Source organism: Homo sapiens, chromosome 5 (genome assembly GCF_000001405.40).
Source record: "Homo sapiens chromosome 5, GRCh38.p14 Primary Assembly".
NCBI lineage: Eukaryota > Metazoa > Chordata > Mammalia > Primates > Hominidae > Homo > Homo sapiens.
In genome coordinates this window covers 179,023,118-179,050,765 of record NC_000005.10, presented here as the reverse complement: position 1 = coordinate 179,050,765, position 27,648 = coordinate 179,023,118, and the positions used below count along the sequence as shown (strand labels likewise).

Genomic DNA, 27,648 nt, shown 5'->3' with positions numbered 1-27,648 from the left:
TGTGCTATGACCCCTCTGAACCTCCCATGATCACGGTTTTTGAAACAAGACTAAGGACTGGTCCTTTTCTAGGTGACACAAGTAAAGTAATAGCTAGAGCAGAAGAAAGAGGGGTTCCCAAACATGTAACTCTAAAATTTGACGCTTGTGCCACTATTAATAGTAATCAGCAAGGACTAGGATGCGGTTCTCTCCAGAAACATAACATGAAGTGACTTTCAGAGACTGAGCTACATGCTCAGCTAATTGCAAAAACAAATTTCTACTGTTTCCTGGAATTTCAGGTACTGGCACATTTAGTTCTTCATAGAAACTCTGAAATACTGGCTCTGGAGAGCGTTTTCGAATTTCTCCTTTTATTAAAATGTTGACCTTAGGGTCTAGTCCTTTTCCATCAATGCCTAGAGATACGTGTTCTCCTTTTTCCCACTTTGGGTCTGAGGGATTTGTAATTATTAATTCTAAAGGGTTGCAGCTTCCACTTGTGCAGGAGGGGCTACTTTTTCCTTTTTGGAGCCAAACAAGATCTTTTTTATCTTTTTTCCAAGTAGCCCAGATGACACAAGACCAGTATTGACACACATTTGTACATGAATATGATTCATGGCAGATATACTTATTTTATGCTGTATAGCTTTTTTCCCAATCTAGAGAACCGCATCCTAGTCCTGACAATTTCTGGGTTCTAAAAGCCTCAATTATTGGACAATATTGCATAGCTAGAGAAGGAAAAGAGTTCACTCATCCTGTAGGACGGCTTAGTTGTCTTGGACAAAAACTGTATAATGGTACCACAAAAACAGTTACATGGTGGAGTTCCAATTACACAGAAAAAGATCCATTCAGTAAATTTCCAAAATTGCAGACTGTTTGGACCCACCCAGAATTCCACCGGGACTGGACTGCCCCCACTGGGTTATACTGGATATGTGGACATAGAGCCTATGCTAAGCTACCTGATCAGTGGACAGGTAGCTGTGTAATTGGCACTATTAAACCGTCTTTCTTCCTACTGCCCATAAAAACAGGCGAACTCCTAGGATTCCCTTCTATGCTTCCCGCAAAAAACAAAGCATAGCCATAGGTAACTGCAAAGATGATGAATGGCCCCCTGAAAGAATTATACAATACTATGGGCCCGCCACTTGGGCACAAGATGGCTCGTGAGGATATCAGACCCCCATCTACATGCTCAACTGAATCATACGTTTGCAAGCTGTTTTAGAAATTATTGCTAATAAAACCGGTCAAGCCTTGACTGTTCTTGCCTGGCAAGAGACTCAGATGAGGAATGCTATCTACCAAAATAGACTAGCTCTCGACTACTTGCTAGCAGCTGAAGGAGGAGTTTGTGGAAAATTTAACCTTACTAATTGCTGTCTACACATAGATGATCAAGGGCAAGTAGTTGAAGACATAGTTAAAAATACAACAAAACTGGCACATGTATATGTGCAAGTGTGGCACGGATTTGATCCTGGGGCCATGTTTGGAAATTGGTTCCCAGCAATAGGAGGATTTAAAACTCTTATAATAGGAGTTATAATAGTAATAGGAACCTGCTTACTACTCCCTTGTTTGCTACCTGTACTTCTTCAAATGATAAAAAGCTTCATTGCTACCTTAGTTCACCAGAATGCTTCAGCACAAGTATATTATATGAATCACTATCGATCTATTGCACAGGAAGACATAAGTAGTGAAAATGAAAGTGAGAATTCCCACTAACAAAATGAGTGAGAGTCTCAAAGGGGGGAAATGAGAGAAGAGAGAAAGAGACCCCCCCATATTGTTCTATATTGTTTTATACTCAGTACCTGTTTTAAGAAGAAACAAGGAAGCGAAACCAAAGGCAGGCAGCTGGGTGCCAGGCACCAGACCCAAAACCAGGCCTGGGCCTGCCTGACCTTAGCCTGATAGTTAAAATTCAACCCATGACCTAGCAACCAATGTTATCCATAGATTCCAGACATTGTATGGAAGGACATTGTGAAACTTCTCGTTCTGTTCTGTTTCACTGTGATTACCGGTGCATGCAGCCCCTGTCACATACCCCCTAGATTGCTCAATCAATCACGGCCCTTTCATGTAAAATCTTTAGTGTTGTGAGCCCTTAAAAGGGACAGAAACTGTGCACTCAACAAGCTCGGATTTTAAGACGCTAGTCTGCCAATGCTTCCAGAGGATTAAAGCTACTTCCTTCACTATCTCGGTGTCTATGGGGTTTTGTCCACGGCTCGTCCTGCTACAGGAACATGAGGAGGAACTAGTAAAAAAGAATGCCAAGGAAATTCAACAGAATATAGTATCTTGTGGTATAAGAGATATTTGGTCCTTGTCCTCAGTTCCTGTCACAGAGATCCTAGAACTTTGTAATTTCATGAAAGATAAGGGTGATAGAAGCATCCTTTGTTATATTTGGGTTCTGTACAAAGCTTCTAAAGCCCCTGGAACTGCCTGAGTTACAGAGGTGATAGGACTATCTTTGTCATTCATAACAAGCCCTTTTGGTCACACCTGATTTATGCTAATGAGGCAACTTAGGATGGGGCCACTAGGGAGCCTCAGGATGGGCTGGTCACCATAAAGACTAAGGGATTACAGGCTTGGAACTTTCAGCCCCACCCACTGACCTCTGGGTGGGAGGGGCACTGGAAACTACTCTTTATCAAAACCCTTCAACAAAGAGACTTGATGAGCTTTGGGGCTGGTGAACACATGGAGGTGCTGGGAGGGGGTGTACTCTGAGGGGCATGGCAGCTCAAGGCCCTTCCCCCATACCCTGCGCAATTCACCTCTTCCATCTGGCTGTTCCGAGTTGTATCATTTATTAATATAATACCCAATAAACATAAGTGTTTCCTGAGTTCTGTGTTATCATTCTGGCAAATTATCGAACCTGAGATGGGGGTCATAGGAACCCCTGATTTATAGCCAGTTCATCAGAAGTACAGATGTCTGGGACTTGAGACTGGTGTCTGATGAAGGGGCAGTCTTACGGAACAGAAGCCTTAAATCTGTGGAGTCTGACATTGACTCTGGGTAATTAGTGTCAGAATTGCATGGATTGTTGGACACCCAGTTGGTGATCAGAGAAGTGGAGAATCAGTTGTTGGTGTAGAAAACACCCCAGAGTATCCTGAAAGCCAAGAACAGACAAGGTGTTTACCAGACTTCTGGTCTGTATGTAAAGAGCTTGGAAGTTATCGTTCCTGTCCTTACAATAAGAAAAAAAGCTGGGCCAGGAGCGGTGGCTCATGCCTGTAATCCCAGCACTTTGGGAGGCCAAGGCAATTGTTGAATTCCAACCAACAGAGCACATAAAGAGTTTTTACCCCAACATATATTCGGAACGTTAACTTGCATTTTAAAATGAGCATCTTGTCAATAAAAGTATGAGCTATGATCCTGGAACTACCAATGGTCAAGCTGGAGAAACAAGGTCCAGATTTACCTTCCCACCTGAAGCAACTAAAAATCCTGGAAGGAAGAATGAAATGATGACACTCAAGATGCTGGACAGTAAATCCTGGGAAACAGGAAGCCAAAGAGTCATGTCTGGATCAAGCTCAGGTAGCAGGAACCCATACAGAGCCCAGTGGTTTTCCTGGATTGACGCGATGAAGCTGGGAGTCTGGGAAATTCAAGACAGCTTGAGTTCACAGGGCAGAGTGCCAGAGAGGAGAGAGCTGCAGAGACAGAGATCCAGGGGATTTTGGAGACCACACCTTGAGGATTCAGTTGAGCCCTGATCAGCATGTGTATGTGAGGAAACTGCCTGAGGCTGGGGAAAAAGCAGCCCCAAAGGGCTAGTGAGCACAGCGCTCAGAGCTGGAAGCACGTCTGTTCCATTCTTAGCTTGGCCTGTCTAAACTCTTTATGAAAATTCTCAACTGTTATCTCACTGACGGCCAGGGTTAAGCCTTGTCTAACTGGCTCCTCTGCTCAGAAGTTTCTCCTGCTTCTTGGCCATTACCAGGCATCAGGGCATGACTGGGCTGAAAATCAACAGTGCAGATATTTATAAAGAGATTAGGGTAAGCCAGGGGAAAAAAATCTGTCATCTTGCTATCATAAGATATTGTACTACAGACAGTGTAGAAAAGAGGAAAGTTTAAATTACAAAATCTTATGGCCAGGCATGATGGCTCACACCTGTAACTCCCCAGCACTTTGGGAGGCTGAGATGGAAGGATGACTTGAGCCCAGGCGTTCAAGACCATCCTGGCCAACACAGTGGGACACCATTTCCACAAAAATTTATTAAAAAAGTAGTCAGACATGGTGGTGCATGCCTATCGTCCCAGCTAATCAGGAAGCTGAGGTGGGAGGATTGCTTGAGCCCAGGAGGTTGAGGCTGCAGTGAGCTGTGATTACACCACTGCACTCCAGCCTTGGCAACAGAAACCCCATCTCAAAAGAAAACAAAAAGATCTTCCTTAAGTGATATCTAAATTTGTTTGAATGAGACACACACAGCAGGTGCAATCTATCAGAAAATAAGAAGAATGAATAAAATTTAGTCTCCAAGCAAAAAAGCAGTGTGTTTCTTCAAGATTTTTGTATGGGAGATAACCATGCAAGGGAAGAAATATGAAATGTATGAAGAGTGGAAAAATTTATCAACTATATTATTTTTCTTAAAACAATGGAAATCCAAAAGAACCCACATAAAAGGTTTGAATTTATGCTTATAAAAAATAATTTTATTAATATTCGAAAATAGTCAATTTTCTCTTGCTACAATTCCATTTCAGCCATTGATGTGAATGCTATGTTTATATAATATAGGTTTATCATAATTAATAGGTAAGTCCAGAGTCATAAAAAAGATAAGTATCACATTTCTTATTACGGGTAATATCAGCACCTAACAGGCATCGTTAACTTTTGATGAGTTTCCTTTTTGTTATAATTCCATGATTATACACACTTTACATAAATGCAAACGCATACACAAACTTGTAGGTGGTACACTGAAGGGCTTGTTATTTCAAGCAGGCCCTGGTTAACCATTAGCAACAAGAACCAAAAAAGACCCCCCAAAACAAAAAGAACTGTAAAAAGCTCAAAAGTCAAATATGGAAAAGGATGTTAAAAACATTCAGAATATGCTTTTTCAACTATAAGGTATATTTACTCTTTTCAAATAGTCTTGGTAATTATATTACATTATTTAAAAATATTCTTTCTACTCTATTATTACAATTATTAAAAATTTTTAAATTAACCTAAATCTTCTGAGTTCCTTTATACACTAAACTAAATGCAAATTTACTTTCCTCTCTGACCCATTTAGAGATTTAATAGTAGGAGCAGTAGTCTACAGCCATAAGTATCCGATTTTCACATTTGCATGTTCCATTTTCTTTTTCAACTATGAATTCTGGTAGGTTCCTTGAGTTTTATAATCTATATTTATTTATAATTAAATTTATATTTAACTTGTGTCTTTATAAGCCATGAATCTTCCTCTACCACTTTCCTAGTTTTGTTTTTCTTTTGGTCTTTGTATTTGTTTCTTTTCACACTGTCACAGTCGACTTTTTCTTTGTACTCTCTCATTTGCCTGAAAAGTGTGTTTCTTCAAGATTTTTGTTTGGGAGATAACTGTGCAAAGGAGGAAATATGAAATGTCTGAGGAGTGGAATGACAGAAATACAGAGGCTCTATTCCACAGGCCCCTCTTCATTTTATGGGGAAATCTCTAGGCCAAAAATAAAATTCTAAGCCCCTCCCCCCACCAACTGAATGGACTCCCCTCTTGGCCAAGGGGATCTCAAAGAAACCTGAAAAACCAGTTCAAGCCATGATGGGAAGCAGAGGCTGGACATGCCGCCTACTACCCTCCTCCCTCTGGAGTTTAGGCACAACTGGCCAGCAATATTAAAATAGAGACCTTAAGACAGAAAAAAAACAGACTCTTTGTAGCAACGAGATACCAAATTCCAACCTGACTCTGATATAGGATCACATGACAGATAGCAGGCTCTGAAGGAAATAGAAGTATTTTACCCAAAAATATATTTTCTTTGACATATTTTGAAATGGTCCTGCAAAGCCATCTCTTGTGGGGGCCATTTGCATCTGTAGAGAATCTCCTTCCCTTACTAGGTCTTTTCCAGGGAGTCTGACTCGTTTTAAGTTCCAATAAAAGATACTTACCATCTATTCTTTCTGAAGCCTGCTACTTGGAGGATTTATCTATATAACAAGAACCTTGACTTCCCTTTAGGATATAGGAAATAAATAGAAATACTTAAAAATAATAAGTAGAAATACTTTAAGATGTAAGTATCCCTATAAATAGAAATACTTTAAGGGGGGGATAAGATAACCCCCTTAATCTTTTTTTTTTTTTTGAGACGGAGTCTTGCTCTGTCACAAGGCTGGAGTGCAGTGGCGCCATCTCAGCTCACTGCAAGCTCCGCCTCCTGGGTTCAAGCCATTCCCCTGCCTCAGCCTCCCCAGTAGCTGGGACTACAGCCGCATGCCACTACGCCCGGCTAATTTTTTGTATTTTAGTAGAAATGGGGTTTCACTGTGTTGGCCAGGAGGGTCTCAATCTCCTAAACTCTTGATCCACTGGCCTCGGCCTCCCAAAGTGCTGGGATTACAGGCATGAGCCACCGCGCCCGACCCCCTTTATTTTCAGCATTTCTTTCTGCTGACTTTAACTTTTCAGGTAAAATTTAACTCTTTCAGTCAACTGCCAATCAGAAAATCTTTGAATCCACCTATATAACCTGGAAGGAACCACCGACCCCACCTTCAAGATGTCCTGCCTGTCCTGGCTGCACCTAAGTACACCTTACATGTATTGATTTATGTCTTTTTCTGTAACTTCTGTCTCCCTAAAAATGTATACAACCAAGCTGTAACCCAACCACCTTGGGTGCATGTTCTTAGGACCTCCTGAGGCTGTGTCATGGGCCATGATCCTGATATTTGGCTGAGAATAAGCCTCTTCTAATATTTTATAGAGTTTGCCTTTTTTGGTCAACCAATCTGAGGCTAATTTTTCTACTTTTGTAGGTAATCTTTTTGTTTGATTCCCTACATGGGCTTTTAAAAATTGGGTTTTTGTTCCTGTTTTTGACAGAGCAGTAGCACCACCATCTCAGACAAACGCTGGCACTTGAAGTTCCAGCTCCTTTTCTAGCCTCACGCATTTCAAGGAAATCACTTCTCTTCTAACTACAAGGAACCAGAAACAGCAGACAGTAAAACACAGAAAAGACAGCTCAGGCACAGAGGGAGGTGGCGGGGAAAGTCTCTTGGGTAACTTCCAAACTTCACCCTCATACAATGGGCCCCAGTAAAACAGTGGGCCTTTCCATGCTGAATCCTTAAAAACTTTTAGTCTATAAGAAAGTGGGCTCTGACCTAACTCGGCCAGCAGCCCCTCTCAGGTTTGTTTCTCTAAAATAAATCTGTCCTTGACTGTCAAGCCACCTTTTGCATTTCTTTCCTCTTTAATTCTTACAGTTTCCTGTATCTTTAAGTATTTCTAATTTCCTATATCCAGCAATCAGGTTTTTTCCATTATTTTTGTGAGACACAAAAAAGGATAAGGCTTCCATTCTATTTTTTCCTGCCTTTTTAAATTAGCAATATATTAAATTGCTAGACTTCATGTATAGCTTTCATTATACATATATGATATGTATATGATACATACATATAAAATATGATATTATATATATATATATATATATATATTTTTTTTTTTTTTTTTTTTGAGACGGAGTCTCGCTCTGTCGCCCAGGCTGGAGTGCAGTGATGCGATCTCGGCTCACTGCAAGTTCTGCCTCTCGGTTTCACGCCATTCTCCTGCCTCAACCTCCCGAGTAGCTGGAACTACAGGCACCCACCACCATGCCCAGCTATTTTTTTTTTTGTATTTTTAGTAAAGATGGGGTTTCACTATGTTAGCCAGGATGGTCTCCATCTCCTGACCTTGCGATCCGCCTGCCTCGGCCTCCCAAAGCGCTGGGATTACAAGCGTAAGCCACCGCGCCCGGCCATATATCTGATGTTCTTATATTTTAATTCTTTGTACTTTCCTCTATGTTCTGGGAGGACTCTTTAAGTTTATATTTCAAGCTTACAGAATCCAATTTCTGAAAGGAATATTCTCTCACTTTCTAATGTGGTTTGTTCTTTAAACAATAAATATCTACATTAAAAAAATCTACACTTTGTGTACAGCATTGATCCAGTAGTCAAAAACCCACTAACCTGATCCAGCAGGCCCTGGGTCCAATGTGGTGAGGCTCAAATGAGTTTCCCTACTTCCCTCCTCACCCTCCCCATGTCTCTCCTTCCCTGCCTTCCTATCCTTCACAATGAGAAAATAAAAAAGGAAAATTATAGAAAAGGATAAATGGGAGTTGTTCCTAACCAATCTTCAGGAATTTGAAAGGCTAAAGCAAAGTATATGCATTGTGTTCAAAATCAAATCACAGCTCCTCTTTAACCTTATCCTCTTGATCAGGTGATCATCTTAATGATGTCCATTCCTGTATAAATGTGGGTCAGGGCTGATGGACTAGCTAGACTTGGGGAACACACACAGTGACATTTTAAACACTGTTTATAATGTCATGCTGACATGACTTCCACCTGGATGACAGAAACCTGTAGTAAGCTATTGACATTTTCCTGTCCTATATACACTGAAAAGGTTAAAGGAAGATCAGAATTGCACAGACACAATGAAGAGTGATTGCAAACAGTTTTTTGGGAAAAAGAACTAACTGACCTTCATGAAGAGATGTGCAGAAAGGATGGTGCTGAAATACAGAAGCCAAAGGAGGTAAGTTCTATCTGGGTCTTTCCAACACAGCTGTATAAATTCATTGAATGGGTCATGAAAAACCTACAATGTTATAATTGTGTCTTTAAATTCATTTGCTTAAAATAAATTGAAGTTATGCTATAGCTTATTTTCTCTCATCCATAGTCTGTATCATTAGACTTAAGTAGAGATCACAAAGCAGACACTGGCAAGCCGGTGGCTCTGAGACCTCCTGCCACAGGCATGACATGGGTTTTGCATTTATATGACATTCTGTAAAAGGCAAAACTACAGGGACAGTAATTGAAAGCAGGGGGTCAAACAGGTACTTGTACACCAATGGTCACAGCAGCATTATTCACAATTGTTGAAAGGTGCAAATGATCCAAATGTCAACCAATGAATGGATAAACAAAATGTGGTATATACATAAAATAAATACTATTCAGCCTTAAAGAAGGAAATTCTGGCATATGCTATAACATGAATGAACCTTGAAGACATATGCTAAATGTAATAAGCCAGATATAAAAGAACAAATATTGTATTATTCCATTTATAAGAAATACCTAGAGTAGTAAAATTCATACAGACAGCAGTATAGAAGGTACTAGGGACTGGGAAGGAGGAAATGAGGAGTTACTGCTTAATGGGTACAGAGTCTCTGTTTGAAATGATGAAAAGATCTGGAAATAGATTGTACATTTAAAAATGGGTGAAAGGGTAAATTTTATGTTATGTGTATTTTATCACTTTGCATTTTGATAAAGTACACACAGAATGTGAGGAGACAGCCACAGGAAGGTCATGCCTCAGGTGAATTCCTAACAGAAAGGTAGTGGTGGGGAATCCACACATCAAAGTGCCGAGACCAGCTCAGTCGGGGAGACCCTAACCCAGTAGCACTAGAGGAATTAAAGACACACACACAAAAATATAGAGGTGTAAGTGGAAAATCAGGGGTCTCACAGCCTTCAGAGCTGACAGCCCCAGAGATTTACCCATGTATTTATTAACAGCAAGCCAGTCATTAGCATTGTTTCTACAGATATTAGATTAACTAAAAGTATCCCTTATGGGAAATGAAGGGATGGGCCAAAATAAAGGGATGAGTTGGACTAGTTACCTGCAGCAGGAGCATGTCCTTAAGACACAGATCACTCATGCTATTGTTTGTGGCTTAAGACTGCCTTTAAGCGGTTTTCTGCCCTGGGCGGGCCAGGTGTTCCTTGCCCTCATTCTGGTAAACCCACAACCTTCCAGTGTGGGCGTTATGGCCATCATGAACATGTCACAGTGCTGCAGGGATTTTATGGCCAGTTTTGGGGCCAGTTTATGGCCAGATTTTGAGAGGCCTGTTCCCAACACAAAGAGACAAGCACCAAGAGGAAGAAATGCAAGATCCTATAGGAAAAACAGAGAATACCTCTAAACTCCACCTCTCCGACAACGCCCAAGTCATCTAGTCCAAAAATCATACTTTGCTTACACTGACAGAAGTACGCACGCTGGAATTACAAATCTTGGATATAATCCCAAGCTTGTTGTAACAGAAAGGACACAGAAATCAGCCTAAAGGGAGTCCCAAAGGCCAATCCTGGGACAACTTCAGCATCAAAATAAATAATTGATATTAACAGATTACAGGCCATTGAATAAAATAGAAAACTATGCTTCCAGAATCATAGAAACACACATATACAGAGAATATAAAACTCTTCTTCAAAGCAGAAAGCCAATTAACAAGTGTAGAAGAAACAATGGAATTACACAATCTTCATTTGGAAGCAATTATAATAAGTGATTAAATCAAGTGTCATCAATGGATGAAACTAGAGGATCAAGTTTATTGTTTTTTGTTTTTTTTTGAGATGGAGTTTTGCTCTTGTTGCCCAGGCTGGAGTGCAAAAGCACAATCTCAGCTCATTGCAATCTCCATCTCCCGGGTTAAAGCAATTCTCCTGACTCAGCCTCCCAAGTAACTGGGATTACACGCATGCACCACCATGCCCGGCTAATTTTGTATTTTTTTAGTATAGATGGGGTTTCTCCATGTTGGTCAGGCTGGACTCAAACTCCCAACCTCAGGTGATCCGCCAGCCTCGGCCTCCCAAAGTGCTGGGATTACAGGCATGAGCCACCGCACCGGACTGAGAATCAAGTTTTTAAAACAATGTTTTATATATTATAATTTATTTTATATTATGTTATTTTTAAATCATTTTTAGAGACAGGGTCTTACTCTGTGGCCCAGGCTGCAGTGCAGTGGCATGATCACAGCTCATTGCTGCCTCAGACTCCCAGGTTCAAGCGATCAACACACTTCAGCCTCCTGAGTAGCTGGGACTGCAGGCACATGCTACCATGCACAGATAGTTTACTTTTTGTAGAGATGGGGTCTCACCATGTTTCCCATGGTCTCAAACTCTTGGCTTCAAGCAATCCTCCCACCTCAGCCTCCCAAAGTGCTGGGATACAGGCATGAGCCACTGTGTCTGGCCTTGGTAAATCAAGTTTGACAAGTAAAAATACATATACATACACTCATAGGATTTCCTGTTAAGAGACTGATGATTATAAAAGGAAGATTGTAACTTCACAGTGCAAAATCTGGCAGATACCATCTGAATGAAGACAGCAAAGTTAAAATGACCAGCAATTGGAGTAAATCACAATCCCCCAATAGGGTGTGATGATGAACTCAGAATACAGTATTACTTCCATGGTTTCCTTACCAAAAAAGCATAGCATAGGCCCAGCACAGGGGCTCACGCCTGTAATCCCAGCACTTTGGGAGGCCGAGGCAGGTGGATCATGAGGTCAGGAGTTCAAGACCAGCCTGCCGAAGATAGTGAAACCCCATCTCTACTAAAAAAAAAAAAAAAAAAATTAGCCGGCCGTGGTAGCAGGTGCCTGTAATCTCAGCTACTGGAGAGGCTGAGGAAGAGAACTGCTTGAACCCAGGAGGTGGAGGTTGCAGTGAGCTGAGATTGCACCACTGCACTCCAGCCTGGGTGACAGAGCAAGACTCTGTCTCAAAAAAAAAAAAGCAAAAAACAAACAAAAAAACGCATAGCATAAATCTAATCATGAAGAAGCATCAGACAGGTCCAATGAAGGGCCAGACTAGAAAACAACTGGCCTGTTCATTTTTCCTAGACCTATTCATGAGAAAACACCTGATCATGTGGCAGCCAGTAATAGCCCCAAACCACATGAAAAGAAGGGCATTTTAAGTAATTTCTTTGAATACAGTACATCAGGCATGTCAACCATATTATAAAAGTTAAAACATATTCTGCATTTTTCAGGTTGCTTTGAAACGACCTGTTAGGAAGCCATGAAAATGGACATTTTTCTTTTTGCCTAGATTCTGAACAAGTCTGTTGAGAAGTGTTGAGTCTTAACAAGAGAACTTGGGCAAAGAAAATGTGTTGACAACTTAAAGATGATTGTTAATTCTTTCTCTTCCTATTTATCTTAAGGTACACATAATTTACCGGGCACTTCCTTACTTTGGTTAGGAACCAATGTTCTCTTTATCTGGAGATCTAGGGAGATGAATGAGAAGGGAAGATTATAGACAGGTGAGAAAAGTGTTGATAGCTTTGTTAATGAGACACATTCCTGTTGAGCAGTGGCCTGAAGAAGGCTCTGATGGTGGCAGGGCTGTTAGGTACAACCTTTAAGCTCATTCCATATTAACCTTCATGTTCACATCACCCTGGGTGATCAGGTTTCAGGATCTCTGTTTTATTCCTCCTCAACTCACCAGGATTGAGTTGGACAAATTCTCTTAAAGTTCTTTTTACTGACATACCCAATGGCTCTGGCTGGCTGGAGCAGCCTCTTCCTGAAGACGGAGTCTCTCTCAAGCACCAAGCAAGTAGAGGAAGACTCTGTGCTTCTCCCCAAGTCATCATCTCCTTGCCTCACACCAGAGTTTTGTAAAGTCCCTGTCCTTTATGTATGTGGTAGCTAGTCTCCATACACAGTTCCCCAGTGAACCATGCCCTTGGCATTCAGTTTATTAAACTACTCTTGAATACGGGCCAAATTTGACTCATTCTCAATCAATTGTATACAGAATTAAAGCTGGCTTTTAAGATCTGCAACTTCTACCTAGCTCTCTTGGAATACTTGCTCTTGGGACACTCCCTCTCAGAAATCAACCCCCATTCTGTAAGAAGCCCAAGCCACATGGAGTAGCCCAAGCCACATGGAGTAGCCCAAGCCAGCTCTCACCCAGCAGTTACCAGCAACTGCCAGCCATCCTGAAGCCCAGTTTAGCTTCAGCCCCAGCCGCTCTGATGGCACAGCTACTAGACAGCAAGTAAGAACCTCCCAGCTAAGCCCCAACATGGGCTCATGACAGACAATACATTGTTGTCCAACACTACATTTGGGGCGATTCGTCCTACAGCAATGGATAACTACAATATATTCTCAATCATTTGATGTTATTTAAATATCTTTAAAACATGTACATATCTTTTTTTTTTTTTTTTTTTTTTTTTTTGAGGAAGAGTCTTGTTCTGTCACCCAGGCTGGAATGTAGTGGCACGATCTTGGCTCACTGCAGCCTCTGCCTCCTGATCAAGTGATTCTCCTGCCTCAGCCTCCCGAGTAGCTGAGACTACAGGCATGTGCCACCACACCCAGCTAATTTTTTGTATTTTTAGTAGAGATGGGGTTTCACCATGTTAGCTAGGATGGCCCTGATCTCCTGACCTCGTGATCTGCCTGCCTCAGCCTCCCAAAGTGCTGGGATTACAGGCGTGAGCCACTGCGCCCGGCCAGTATATACCTTTTAACATATAATTTTGCAAAAAAATTGTATCATACCCTATGTAGTTTGCCAATGACTTTTAAAAACTCAAAAATGTGTTTTTCAATCTATCCGTTTTTTTGTTTTAGAGACATTGTCTTGCTATGTTGCCCAGGTTGGTCTTGGACACCTGGGCAACAGTGATCCTCCTGCCTCAGCAGAGTAGCTGGGACTACAGATGTGCTCCACCATGCCAGCTTCATCCATGTTTTGCTTCACTTTATTCCTTTTCACTGCTGTTTCTACTGTGTTAATATTCCAAAATATATCCATTCTCCTAATTAATGGACATTCAGACTACTTACAATCATTTGGTGTGATGATCAGTGCTGCTAAGAATATCTTTATACATCCCTTGATGCCCACATGCAATCATTTCTCCAGTGCATCTATGCAGATGTCCACAACACGCACAAGTTCAGCTTTATGTCAGTCATCTCTGACTTATATTCCCACTACTACTGAATTTCTTATTCCACATACATCCTGAAGCTCAGTATTGTCACACATCCTAATTTTTCCTCATTTGTGGTTGTAAAATCATACATTACCGTGGCCTTAATTTGCATTTTAACTACTAATGAAGTTAGTTACCTTTTCGTGTTTCTGGAAATTTGTATTTTCTTTTCTGTGAAATAAGAAGTCATGTATTTAGCCCATTTTCCTAGTGTTATTATTGATTTGTACAAATTAGTATTTCTGGATTATAGTAGTTTTGTTGGGCATACTGTAGAAAGATCGATTTTGTGTCTTGACTTTTTTCACCTCCGTTTTTGTATACTTTGGTAAGAAGTTCTTTCATGTGAGCAAATAAATCAAAAATTTTATATAGCTAATTTGTAGCCTGTTTAAGAAATCTTTCCCAATCTCAAGAACATAAAATTATTCCTTTACATATTCCTCCAAGTTATTCAGTTTTTGCTTTTCATATAATTGTTATGGTGAGGGTAGGGATCTAATTTTTTTTCTGTGAATCATTTCTGTCTCAGAGCCAATTTTGAACAGTTCATTCTTTTTGTTTTTTGAGACAGTCCTGTCACCCAGGCTGCAGTGCAGTGGCATGATCTCGGCTCAGTGCAACCTCTGCCTCCTTGGGGTCAAGCAATTATCTTGCCTCAGCCTCCTCAGTAGCTGTGATTACAGGCATGTGCCACCACACCCGGCTAATTTTTGTAGTTTTAGTAGAGACAGAGTTTCGCCATGTTGACCAGTCTGGCCTCGAATTCCTGACCTAAGGTGATCCACCCACCTTAGTCTCCCAAAGTGGTGGGATTACAGGCGTGAGCTACTGTGCCCAGCTACAGTTTATTCTTTCTCGGTATTTCTTGTCATTAATGCTTCTAACATCTTACCATTCTTTTTCAGTAGGCTTTCTATAAATGAACTTTTATCATGTTATTAACTATGCTTAGGTGCTCTGGATTACGTTTGCTAATGATTTGCTTGGGATTTCACCTCTTGTTCATAGGTAATATTGGCCTATAATATTCATTTCTTGTGCTTTACCTGGCTTTGGCACTGGGTTATATTAGCAAAATTGTGCTATTACATTATCTCCTCTGGGAGACTTTCCATAAAACTTGATCTATCTGTTACTTCAAGTTTTGACAGATCTTGTTTTAAAAAATAACTTGGCCTAATGTTCTCTTTGTGTGATTTTAATTCAGATTTAACTTTTTGATGATTTTAAAACTACTAATAGTTAGGGAAGTTCTACTTCCCTAGGAATTTTTACAACTTAGGTAGAGAAAAAAAACTGAACAGTTGTGGGAAGTAAGGATTAGAGATGAAGCATTCAATGATCCAGAAAAGTCTGTTCTTCACAAGTCTGAAACAATGAGACTGAGTAACCCAGGAGGCAAAAGCTGTATTCAGTGATTTTTGCTATGCTCCCAATAACACTTTCCTATTTTTTTTTTTTAATGAGATGGAGTCTCGCTCTGTTGCCCAGGCTGGAGAGTAGTGGCACGATCTCGGCTCACTGCAAGCTCCACCTCCCAGGTTCACATCATTCTCCTGCCTCAGCCTCCCAAGTAGCTGGGACTACAGGCGCCCGCCACCATGGCCGGCTAATTTTTTTTTTTTTTTTGTATTTTTAGTGGAGACGTGGTTTCACCATGTTAGCCAGGATGGTCTCGATCTCCTGACCTCATGATCTGCCCGTCTTGGCCTCCCAAAGTGCCGGGATTACAGGCGTGAGCCACTGCACCCAGCCAGTTTTCTATTTTTTAAAGTTCCTTGGCAGAAAAACTTAGCACTTTATGAAATGGGTCGTTTCAGCCCTTAAGTGCTTGCCCCCTCCTGATAAACTTGGCTAAACTAGATGTTAGCCTCTGTAAAGCCCAACAATTTTGACTTGTGAGATAACTGTTTTTAGCTTGCTAATCTTATGATTCACATTTTAGAAATGCTGAAATGAGCTAAATCACTTGTTGAAGAGTGTAAGTCCATTTGCTGGAAGAAAGAGTATCTGAACTCAGAGCCTAAATATTTGCCCAGTGACCTTTAGAGTGTGGGGAGAAAGTGAACCTTGTCTGATGAAGGCGAAAAAGTGGAAGTAAGGGTGAAAATCATCTGGTTCATTTTACCTCCAAGGATGATGACCTGAGTTCTACATTGTTCCTGGGCCTTCTGGTGGCTGGTAACCAGAAAGCTCACAGAAGCAGGCAGACCCTGGGAGCTGAGCTGTGCTTGCTATTGGCTACATTCTGAGATAATTTATAACATTTTTCAGTAAATTGCAAAAGCAGTGGTTGTCTGAATGACCTTTACTTATCAATTTAATACAGCAAAGGTAATCACTTTTAATGAGAAAAACAAGTGAAATACCATGCGTTCTGTGACTTAAAGTGACTTTAGATCTGACTCAGAGTTTGGAACAAGTAGTCAGGAAGAAAACGCAAAGACAGTACGTCTGCATAGTTTATGGAGTGATTTTCTTCTCAGGTGAATGGCTTAGAAAGCAGAGAAACAATTCAAAGTCTTTACCATGAAGTGCAGAATCTGCTTTAAGATTATTAAAAAACATTTTAGTGACAGTGAGGTAGCTATGGGTCACCTGTACATATTTCTTTTCTAAAACATTCTTTCTAGTACCACTGGCTTGCATAATAGTTTCAAAAAATAGATTCCTAGATTTATCTGTGTCTGGATTTTATGGCTGTACTTGTACATAAACAGCAGGCTTCCCAGTGATGCTCAGGAAAGCTGGTGGCTGTTATCGTACATCACTAGACAATCAAATACTAACCCTGCAATCTTAAAAATTCTCCATTTCATGGTAATAACTTAAGAACATATGAATAAACATTTTATAGAAGCTTTTCTAGCATTCCCAAGGTTACCCTGCATCATGAAGTCTCTGATGTGTGATGAGGTCTAATGCTGAAGTTTTACCTATGATTAACTACTCTTCATCACTTTCTCCCCACAATGAATTTTTTGATACTCAGTATGGAATATAACTTCAGTTCCTACATGCATTTATACAGTTTTTCTCAATTATGAGTCCTTTGATGATTAGTAAGAGATGAGCTCTGACTAAAAGCCTTCCCACATTCTTTACATTTATAAGGTTTTTCCCCTGTATGAATTCTCATGTGTGTCATAAGGGATGAACTCTGTCTGAAGGCTTTCCCACACACTTTACAATTATATGGTTTCTCTCCAGTATGAATTCTCTGGTGCTGAATTAGAGCTGAGCTTTGGTTGAAGGCTTTCTCACAGTCATTACATTTATAAGGTTTTTCTCCAGTATGAATTTTTCGATGAGTATTAACGCCTGAGTGGGAACTGAAGGCTTTTCCACATTCCTTACAATTATATGGTTTCTCTCCAGTGTGAATTCTGTGATGTATATTAAGCCGTGAAATCCAAGAGAAGGCTTTCCCACATTCATTACATTTGTAGGGTTTTTCTCCAGTGTGAATTCTTTGATGTTGTATGAGAGCTGAGCTTTGGCTGAAGGCTTTCCCACATTCTTTGCATGCATATGGTTTCTCACCAGTGTGAATTCTCTGATGTATGATAAGGGCTGAGTGATAGCTGAATACTTTTCCACACTCGTTACAATGAAAGGGTTTCTCTCCAGTATGAATTCGATGGTGCCTACTTAGCCGCGATATTGAAGTGAAGGCTTTCCCACACTGAGTACATTCATACGGTTTCTCCCCAGTATGAATTCTGTGGTGCTGAATGAGAGATGAGCACTGACTGAAGGCCCTCCCACATTCATTACACTTATAGGGCTTCTCTCCTGTGTGAATTCGCTGGTGATTATTAAGAGATGAACTACCTTTAAATGTTTTTCCACATTCCTTGCATTTATAAGGTCTCTCTCCAGTATGCATTCTCTGGTGTCCAATAAGAGATGTGGTGAAACTGAAGGCTTTTCCACATTCACTACATATATAAGGTTTCTCTCCTGTATGAACCCTCAAGTGCTGAGTTAGGGATGAGCTTTGGCTGAAGGCTTTCCTACATTCCTTACATTTATAGAGCTTCTCTCCAGTGTGGATTCTCTGGTGTTTACTCAGGGAGGAACTGTGGAGGAAGATTTTCCCACAGATATTACATTTATAACATTTACGCACTGTGTTGACCCCCAGTTGTTTAAAGAGAACTGAATACTGCTGTGAACGGGGTCTCCTTCCTCTGGAAACTATTCTCGGTTTTCTAATAAGCGATGATTTTAGACCAAGATTTTTCCCAAATTCAACACCTTTAAAGCTCCTCTCCTTCATGTAGACTTTTTTGATGGTAACTAACACTTTACTGAAAAGTCTGTTCTTTTTGCCTTGTTGCTTCTCTAACTTATCTTCATTTATGTAGGTCTTCTCCAACTTGAAGTCAAATGTGCCATCAATTATGAGTTTTTTCATGACTTCCTGATTTTCTTCTTTAGAAACTATGGTTCCAAACAAGCTTTCCCATCCTAAAGTAGACAAAACATATAAGTCTCTCTTGAACTCAGAATTTTAAAAAGTGACATAAAAACGCACAAGGATAGTTAAAAAATATAAAGCCTTGAAATCTTAGAAAAGGATGGGAAAAAGAAGAGGAGGAAGGAAGCAGGATGACAGACATGTGGGTGGGAAGGGTCTGAAGAAACCTACATATAGGTGGGCTGAGGAAATTAGGGGACAACAGGAAGAGCCAGGCTCGATCTATTAACAAAGCACAGCTCGCTAGGCTATGAGGCCCTTCTGAACACAGCCTGTGTCCCTCAGCGTCATCTCCCAGGGCAGCTACCAGTGCACTCAGGTAAATACCAAGGGAAAAACTGCAGAGGGGCTAAAATTAAATGAAAGAGAAGAGCTCCGCCAAACACAGGATGTCAAGCAGTGCTGCTCTAGGCCTCCTCAGAATGCTGTAAATAATGGCATCCACTTACTCAAGTAATACCTACTGAGTGCCTACTGTGTGCTACGCAAACGTTAAGACTCTGAGAATGACAGGGCACAAGCCAGACAAGGGCCTACTCTCAAGGTTTTCATTCCAGCAGTGTGATACAGACAATGACCAAGTAACAAATCAACAGCAGTACAAAGGAGCAATGAGAACTGTAAGAAAACACGAACGAAGCACTGTGTAATAAGAGTGAATAGGCAACTATTTTAAACTGGGTGATGAGAAAATGAAATTAAAGATGAGATCTAAATAACAAGCGCTGGCCAGACAAAAATTAGGGTATAAAGGTGATTCCAGTCAGAAAGAACAGTAACACAAAGGCCCTAGGCAGGAATAGCTTCCTGTTTTCCAGGACATATAGCAGTCCATGATAGCTGAAGCAGAGTGAACAAGAAGAGAGTGTCACAGATGAGGAAAAGAGGTGGGCCAGGCTATATTGTGGAGCGTTTTCTAGGATACAGGAAGATATTGGAAGTTCATCAGCATCACTGAGGGCTAGAAGGGACATGAAATGATGTGGTTTTTGTTTAAAAAGGATCACTCTGGTTGCTATATGAAAAACAAACTGTAATGGGGCCGGGGAGAAAGAGAACAAGGGCAGCTGCAGAACAGGCAATGAGGCCGCTGCACTCTTCCTGGATGAAGATGGTGGTGGCTGACACTGGCATGTGGTGATAAGAGACGGAAAGAGGTGGGCGTATCTGGGATGTTCTGCAAGTAGCACTGGCAGGTATCTTCACCTACGAATAGAGCGCAGAGGCAATGAAAGAGGGGACTCAAGGATGACTCCTAGCTTTTGGTCTGGGCAACTCAATGGACACCAACACCATTATCATGATATTGGGGAATACTGGGAGAAAAGAACATTATTGAGAGTAATTTTTTGTCTACCTTTTTGGTTACTTAAGATACAGTACAAGAAATGGAATCATTGATTCAAAAGAAATGTATTTCCTTTTGTATTTTATGAAACAGCTTTTATTTTCTTAACTACAAAAGAAATATATCATCATAAGAAAAACACAGAAAACTATAAAAATGAACACATAGCTCACCCATAAATACATCATGCAATTGTAATCACTATCATATGTGGGACATAGCTCACCAGAATTTTCTGCATATAAAAAATCACTTAATTAAAAAATTAAAATGGATTGAAATTAAGCTTCCTTTACCTCCATTTCACTTAAAAATCATGAGCTTCTCTCCATGTCAATAAATGTAGGCTGACATCATCATTTTAATGGCAATATAATATGTCCAATGCATGAAAACATCATCATTTACTAAATCCCTTTTTGAGAGTCATTTACCCTCCTCCTTTTGTGGCAGTGATGCCTCATGTTATAACAAACATTCTTTTACAACATCTTTGTAACTCTGCACAGTTATCTGTGCAGAAATTATCTTAACATTTCTACACTTGGAATTGATTTTAATAAAACCAGACCATCCTCAGAAAGACTACCAGTTGCAGTCCCACTAACGATACTGCTTATCACTCACAGCAGTGGCAACACATTGGGTATCTATTTCTTAATCCTTGGTAATAAGGGAAAAATGGTAACTTGTGCTTCGTTGGAATTTCATTGATTTTAATTTAATGAAGTTGAATAGTGCTTCAAAAAATCCCTTGTGGATTTTTAATCCACATGCCTGGCCTTTTCAATCACAATACTCATGTCTTTGTACTGTGATGATTTACTCTTGGTACCTTTGCCTCTTTATATTATGGCTTTGTATTCCCATAACCATCTTAGCAATATTAGTAACAGAGAAAAACTGGTAACTAAAATTTCCAAAAGGAAGACTGTTTAATTGGCTTAACATACAATATAGTCCTCTCAATGAGGTAGGCCTCTATTCACTGAGGGCTGAATAACTGAATGACATTCACAATTAAAACAGGATCAAGAACAAACTGTATAATCAATCTTTCTGTATCTCTCTCTCACTGTGTCTGTCTCTCACACACAAACACATTTAAGCAAATATGCAGTTTGAATGGGTAATAAACAACAATAATTGATCATAGTTGGTAAAATTCCAGGTGACTTTTTTTTGCTCCTATTTTTACAACAGCATGTAGAATTTGTACAAATTTAAAATAATTAATTTTTAAAAATGCTTGTAAAACAACACTGACAATGTGATACCAATGATTTATTTGCCAACCAGAAAGCTCAGAGCGAAATTTGAAACTCATTTATAGCTACCATTCTGGTCCTTACTACAGATCTATTTATTTTCTAGATGTCTGATTGAATTTCTATTTTATTGTATCACTACTCTTGCAGTCAATTGCCTCACATTGTTGGTGGAATGTGGCAGAAACAAAAGATCCCTGAAATGAAAGGAAGGACTGAATCTTCAAAGCAAAGAGGCCAGTAAAGTGCCAAAGAACAAAGAAAAAAAAATACTCTTTCATATAACCTAATGAAAAGTCTGAATTCCAAAGATAAAGATGATGTCCTGTAAGATTCCAAAGAGAAGACAGAAAAGAAAAAACAAGTTACCTATACAGGAAATAGAATCTGACTAATGGGATTATTTGTCAGCAGCACTCCATGCCCAAAGACAGTGGAGCAGTTTGGACAATGCAGAGAGGAAAAAAAAAAAAAAAAACAGATGCCAGAATTCTAGATCCAAAACAACAAATCTCAGAGGAGAGAAAAAAACAACTGATTTTTGACACGTACAGATATTGCACACATGAACCTTTTTTGAAAACCGTTACCCAAGAAAATATTCTAGTCGAGCCAAAGGGAAAAATGTGAAGACAGAGTTCACGAATGGAAACGCAAAAGTGAACTGGCCCAGAAAGCCCACGCCCTGCCCAGGTGAGAAAAAAACACCAGACACGTGGTAAAGCTCAACAGAGGCCTCCTCTACTGCCAGAAGCATAGACAGAATTCACAGGAGAATGAATGCGGAAGCTGATAATGCAGTCATCCAAGGGCGTATAGGGAAAAAGTGACATGCCTTAGGAGCTGGGATCTGGGATGCATTATTTTCTAAATTTTCACAGAAAAGAGAAGAATAGCGTGATGAGTATCCGGAAGCCCACTCACATTCCGTAACTGTTACCGTTTGTCACACCTTCTTTCCCTCTTTCATGTATGTAAATACATACACATATATCTGCTTTTTTCCCCCTTTTGAACCATGTATAATTAAGTTGTACACCAAAGAAATCAAAGCAAAAGATGGTTCCAAGATGAAACTATGAGGAATGTATTGTAGTGATTAAAAAAAAACAATGTAATGTTCAAGCCACTAAGGAAAATAATTTAGGAAAAGAATCAATCCAGTAAAAGCAAGGATAAAGGAAGATAAAAGAATTATAAACCTTTACACATGATATACTGTATTACATATTCTGCAAATTACAAGATATCTGAAAACAGTGCAACCCATATTGGGAGAATTCAACCCTCCTCTGAACATGATGGATCAAGTAATCAAAAGAGAAAGGATCTACCTTCCCAGCATTTCCCCCTGGCCTGGCACATCAAGGAGACCCTTGAGCGCAGCCTCCTCGCTGTGCCCTGGCAGTGGGAAAATGTTATGCCCATCTCCCAATTACTCTGTCACTCACCGAGATGTGCGCCTTGGGGAACTCCACTCTCCACCATCCAGGGGTCTTCTCCTTGCTCTAACTGGGAGATGACCTTTGGCTTGGAAAAGAGAATCCCTGTTCATGAACAAGAAAGAAACGTGAGCGGCCATCGTAGCAGGCGGGTCCAGCCCCAGAGTGCCCAGGGCAGAGGGGCAGTACAGGGAAGGAGGAGGTTTGTTCTGAGAGGCTTCAAACTGGGCTCCTAGAGGACAACCAGGAGATGGTCCCAGGAAGAAAGTCAGGGCTCTGGTTGTGCACTCCTCTCAGCAGGAACACCCTGTGGGGCTCAGGGAACAGAGCTCAGTGGGCAGAAGACAGGAAAAGCAGAGAAAAGACCCCTTCATCAACTCTACTAAGCCAAGGTCTCTCCATACAACCAAGGGGAATGGCAATGGCCACTCTTGGAGCCCACCTGTGAGCCGACCTGGCCAAGCCCTCCAAATGTGCCCCCTGAGGGTGCTAAGGTGCTCTCCTGGCAGATTCTGCATCAGGAGGAAAGTTCCTTACCCAGTGAGACCAGGATGCTGTAGTTCTCCAGCATCACCTCCCGGTACAAGGCTCTCTGGGCAGAGTCCAGGTGCAACCACTCGTCCTGGCTGAAGAACACGGCCACATCCCTGAACGTCACGGACTCCTGGAATGGCAAACCCACTCCTGTTCATCCAGGACTGTCCCCACAACGAGAAGACTGAGAAGCAACCCTGTCACAACTTAGGGTTCTAAGTATTTCAAGTGTTTCTGGACAACTTTTCAGTTACCAAGCACACATTTATCATTTACCTATGGTGAGTGAAACACCGTCCCCTCAGGAAGCTTGAACACAGAGGCCAACCAAGAGAAGCACTTGAACCCATGAAACAAAATCAGAGCAAGAAAACACTGAACTTTAGATTTGGAAACGTCCGATCACCTAGACCAAACCCTCATCTTACAGGTCACACCTGACAGTCAGGTTTCGGAAGGAGGCACCAGCACATTCACTGAGGGAGATATAGGTGGAACACCACCAGGCTTGCTGGGAAAGGCGGTCACTGAGTCCTAGTTCTGCCTCAACTCGGGCCATCTCTATGAGTCCTGGGAAAGATGACACTGACATTCACAGTAGGGAAGGCTATGAGAATGTTCCAGGCATGGCTGTGTCAGGAGAGGTCCCAGGTGGTGGGCTACATAACCTTTCAAGCCAGAGGAGAAGGCTATGGTCAGTAGTCTCCCTCCCCACCCCAGAAGCTCCTGTTCTTCTATCTCTCTCCTCCTTCACTGGATGGCATGTTACTGCTCTGAACTAGGGCCATCTCCCCTTCTTGAGAGTCATCTTCTTGGCTGGGCACAGTGGCTTACGCCTATAATCCCAGCACTTTGGGAGGCCGAGAAAGGAGGATTACTTGAGCCCAGAAGTTCAAGACCGGCCTGGGCAACATAGAGAGACCTCATCTCTGCAAAAAATAATTTTTTTTTAATTAATTGGGTGTGGTGGCATGCGCCTGTAGTCCCGGTTATTCAGAAGGCTGAGACAAAAGGCTTGCCTGAGCCCAGGAGGTCGAGGCTGCAGTGACGTGTGATCACACTACTGCACTCCAGCCTGGGCAACAGAGTAAGATCCTGTCTCTTAAAAAACAAAACAAAACGAATCATCTTAAAAAAGCTTACTAGAAAATTCTAAAAGATCAATAAGCAAAACAACAAGAAGTGCTCATCTAACTTTCTACCACCAGAAAAAGTTAACTTTTTGCTATGTCTCTTCAGGTGATTTTCATGCAAATATGGTTCTATATTTAAATAAAAATAAAATCACATTATACAAATAACAGCATCCTGGTCACCACTGTTTACATGCTGCCCAGTAGTTCAGTGTACAGATGATCTAGTTTATGTAACTCCCCTAGCACTGGATGTTTAGGTTGTTTGCACTTTGTTCATACTCTAGAAATGCTGAATTGAGCATCCTGTACAGAATCACAAAGGCGTACAAAGCTTATCTCCTTCAGACATATTTTTCTTTCTTTGTTTTTTTTTTTTTTTTTTTGAGATGGAGTCTTGCTCTGTCACCAGGCTGGAGTGCAATGGCACAATCTCAGCTCACTGCAACCTCCACCTTCCGGGTTCAAGTGATTCTCCTGCCTCAGCCTCCGGACTAACTGGGATTACAGGAGCGCACCACCAGACCCACCACACCTGGCTTTTTTTTTTTTTGAGACGGAGTCTCGCTGTGTCACGCAGGCTGGAGTGCAGTGGCATGATCTCCGCTCGCTTCAACCCCTGCCTCCCGGGTTCAAGTGATTCTCCTGCCTCAGCCTCCAGAGCAGTTGGGACTATAGGCATGCACCACCATCCCTAGCTAACTTCTGTATTTTTAGTAGAGACCGGGTTTCACCATGTTGGTCAGGCTGGTCTTGAACTTCTGACCTCAAGTGATCTGCCCACCTTGGCCTCCCAAGGTCCTGGGAATACAGGGCCTCTCTTTTTCAAATTCCCCGTGTTAGGAAGGAATTATTTAACTCCTCCGTGTCTTTGTCCTCCACAGGGCAAAAACACCTGGATCTTTCACAAAGCTCTGGTAGTGGCAGTGGCCTGGCATTGGAGCCCCATTAAATTCTTTGTCAAAAAGCATGAGACTGGGGGCCGGGCGCGGTGGCTCACGCCCATAGTCCCAACACTTTAGGAGGCTGAGGCGGGCAGATTGCTTGAGGTCAGGAGTTCAAGACCAGCCTTGCCAACTTGTTGAAGCCTGGTCTCTACTAAAAATACAAAAATTAGCTGGGTGTGGTGGCACACATGCCTGTAGTCCCAGCTACCAGGGAGGTTGAGGCTGCAGTGAGCCATGTCCGTGCCACTGCACTCCAGCCTGGGTAACAGAGTGAGACCCTGTCTCAAAAAAGGGAAAGAAAAAAAAAAAAAAGCATGAGACAGGCTCTGAGGCAAGGGAAACACCTTCCTTCCAGAGTTTCTCAGCTACCAAGCCCTCTGGTCCTTCCCTGAGCTTCACTGGGTAGAGAAGCTCAACAACAGATGAAGAAGTTTACCACGTCTAGACCCTGAAGGCAGTTCAAGCAAAAAGAAGCCTTCACTCACCTGTACATGGGCTGGCAGCAACCTCCTTGCCATTTCTCCCTCCCTGCTGCCTCTCTTGGAGAAGGCACCTGGAATGGAGAAAAAAGCTGTGAGGTCTTTTCATCCAGCCTGCATGCCCACCCTCATTAGGCCAGACCAGGTTAGAAGCCATAAGCTGAGCACCTGCAGAGAAGGAGCCTGGAACTGCCCAGGCCAGAGGGGCCCTAAGTCCGGCCACTTAAACCAGTGTGGGAAGCAGGTTCAGAGTCACCGGGCCTGCTACCTTTCTGCCAGTGCTTTACGATAAAGACGAAAGGAGCGAAGGGATGAAGACCATCTGCCGTGCCTTAACAGGGTCAAGGGCAGAATCAGGCAAGGCTCATTCAGATAAAGTAATAGGAAATGACACAATATTCCACACATCTGCACTTGGATGTTGTTCAATACGAAAAACAGCAGTTGAAGAACTGATGCTCTTTTTTAGGAACAGCCAACCAAAAATTAGTCCTCTTTTCTTCCTCTTGTAAGATTTACTTCCTTTATCAAAAACAGTTATCAAAGCTGCTTAAAGGTAGCGTTACCCATTCTCCCTGGCCCCAAAAAAACAAGGGCGCAAGAAAACAGCATCACTAGCTAGAAATTGATTTAAAATTTAGAGAAATGGGAAGAAACGTAGCAAGTGGACATGGTTACGGTAAATAAAAAAAGAAATAGTTAAATCACTCTAGGACTGGCTGTAGGAAAACACTGCCAAACGTGCAAGACTGCCAAAAACGAGTAAATCTAAAGTTTAAACTCCGGGAAACGGAGTAGGGGGAGGCTTAAACCCACAAACACTAAGAGCGAAAAACCGCCCGGAGGGCTCCGGACCCTGAACCGAGGCGGCATTTTGCAGTTTCTGTTCTGGAGCCGTTTCCCCCGGAGTCCGGCCCAGGCTGCGGCCCAGGAGTCCAGCGGCGTCGAAGCGCCCTCCCGGCCTCCGCCAGGCCCTTCCCAGGCCACGCCCCCTCCGGGGCCGGGTTCACCTGCCGAGGCCGCCCCGGCTCGGACGCCCGGAGCCGGGGACTCGGCAGACACGCGCAGAGGCCAGCCCTCGTCCTGGTCCCGCCGCGGCAGCCGCACGCCCCGGGCCCGCCCTCACCGGCAGCCTGTACCTGGGCCCGCCTCGGCGGGGGGCGCGCAGCTCCACACCGCACAAGAGGCGAGCGGAACACCTAATTCAGAGACGTTTCCCGTCGCTGCCGGGCGCAACTGCGCCTGCGCGCCGGAGAGCCGACGGGTTTCCCTGGCTGAACCGCAGCGTTTGTCCCTCCGGACTTCATTTCCCAGACGTCGCTGCGGCACCACCACTTACGGTGTCCGAGAGAGAACCACAGCGCCGAGAGCGGAGAACGCGGTCGGGCTGTGGAGTTCGAGAAGGCTGAAGCCGAGTCCCTCAGCTTGGGCTCCAACTACTCTCCCTCCGCTAAACCACCCATTGTATTCGTAATTAGAATGACAAAAATAGTAAGACGGAAAAGTGAGTATGAATTTTTAAATCTGGAAGACTAGCCGCTGCTGATTATTCGCAGGTGGTGACAGAACTATTACAGTCCATTCTGCGATTTTAATTAAAAATGAATTATGTCTAAATTTTATAATCTCGGCCGGGCGCGGTGGCTTATGCCTGTAATCGCAGCACTTTGGGAGGCCGAGGTGGGCGGATCACAAGGTCAGGAGACCGAGACCATCTTGGCCAACATGGTGCAACCCTGTCTCTACGAAAACACGAAAAATTAGTCGGGCGTGGTGGCACATGCCTGTAATCCCAGCTATTCGGGAGGCTGAGGCAGGAGAATCGCTTGAACCTGGGAGGCGAAGGTTGCGGTGAGCTCAGATCGCGCCATTGCACTCCAGCCTGGGTGACAGAGCAAGACTCTGTCTCAAATAAATAAATAAATA

General features: G+C 42.2%; 1 protein-coding gene across 6 annotated transcripts, besides 1 other annotated feature; it reads right to left on the bottom strand.

Moving 5' to 3' along the window:
* Nucleotides 1-15,701: 15,701 nt before the first annotated feature.
* ZNF879 (zinc finger protein 879) lies at nucleotides 15,702-26,962 on the bottom strand. Of its 6 annotated transcripts, none has more exons than NM_001353373.2 (5): nucleotides 25,891-26,962; nucleotides 25,729-25,796; nucleotides 23,167-23,293; nucleotides 22,639-22,734; nucleotides 15,702-18,561 (listed from the first exon to the last, which is right to left on the bottom strand). In NM_001353373.2, the coding sequence occupies exons 2-5, from the start codon at nucleotides 25,759-25,761 to the stop codon at nucleotides 17,126-17,128; spliced, it is 1,692 nt and encodes a 563-aa protein (NP_001340302.1). In that variant the 5' UTR covers nucleotides 25,762-25,796; nucleotides 25,891-26,962; the 3' UTR covers nucleotides 15,702-17,125. The 6 variants fall into 6 exon arrangements, with proteins under 6 accessions (NP_001340302.1, XP_011532853.1, NP_001340301.1 ...); XM_011534551.3 differs by having other exon boundaries at nucleotides 26,733-26,962; NM_001353372.2 differs by having other exon boundaries at nucleotides 26,849-26,962.
* Nucleotides 26,833-27,334: an enhancer, noted in NCBI's record as "H3K27ac hESC enhancer chr5:178450433-178450934 (GRCh37/hg19 assembly coordinates)". NCBI's record gives its function as "activates a minimal SCP1, AML or CMV promoter by ChIP-STARR-seq in naive H9 embryonic stem cells {active_cell/tissue: H9 hESC(naive)}" and the evidence as "EXISTENCE:reporter gene assay evidence [ECO:0000049][PMID:30033119]".

Coding starts and splice junctions, on each gene's coding strand:
- ZNF879 (NM_001353374.2), bottom strand. CDS start 25,761: ATGGCAAGGAGGTTGCTGCCAGCCCATGTACAG. Junction 23,294..25,728: donor TGCTGCCAGCCCATGTACAG/GTGAGTGAAGGC, acceptor TTGCCATTCCAG/GAGTCCGTGACGTTCAGGGA. Junction 18,562..22,638: donor TCCCCAAGGCGCACATCTCG/GTGAGTGACAGA, acceptor TGTCTACTTTAG/GATGGGAAAGCTTGTTTGGA.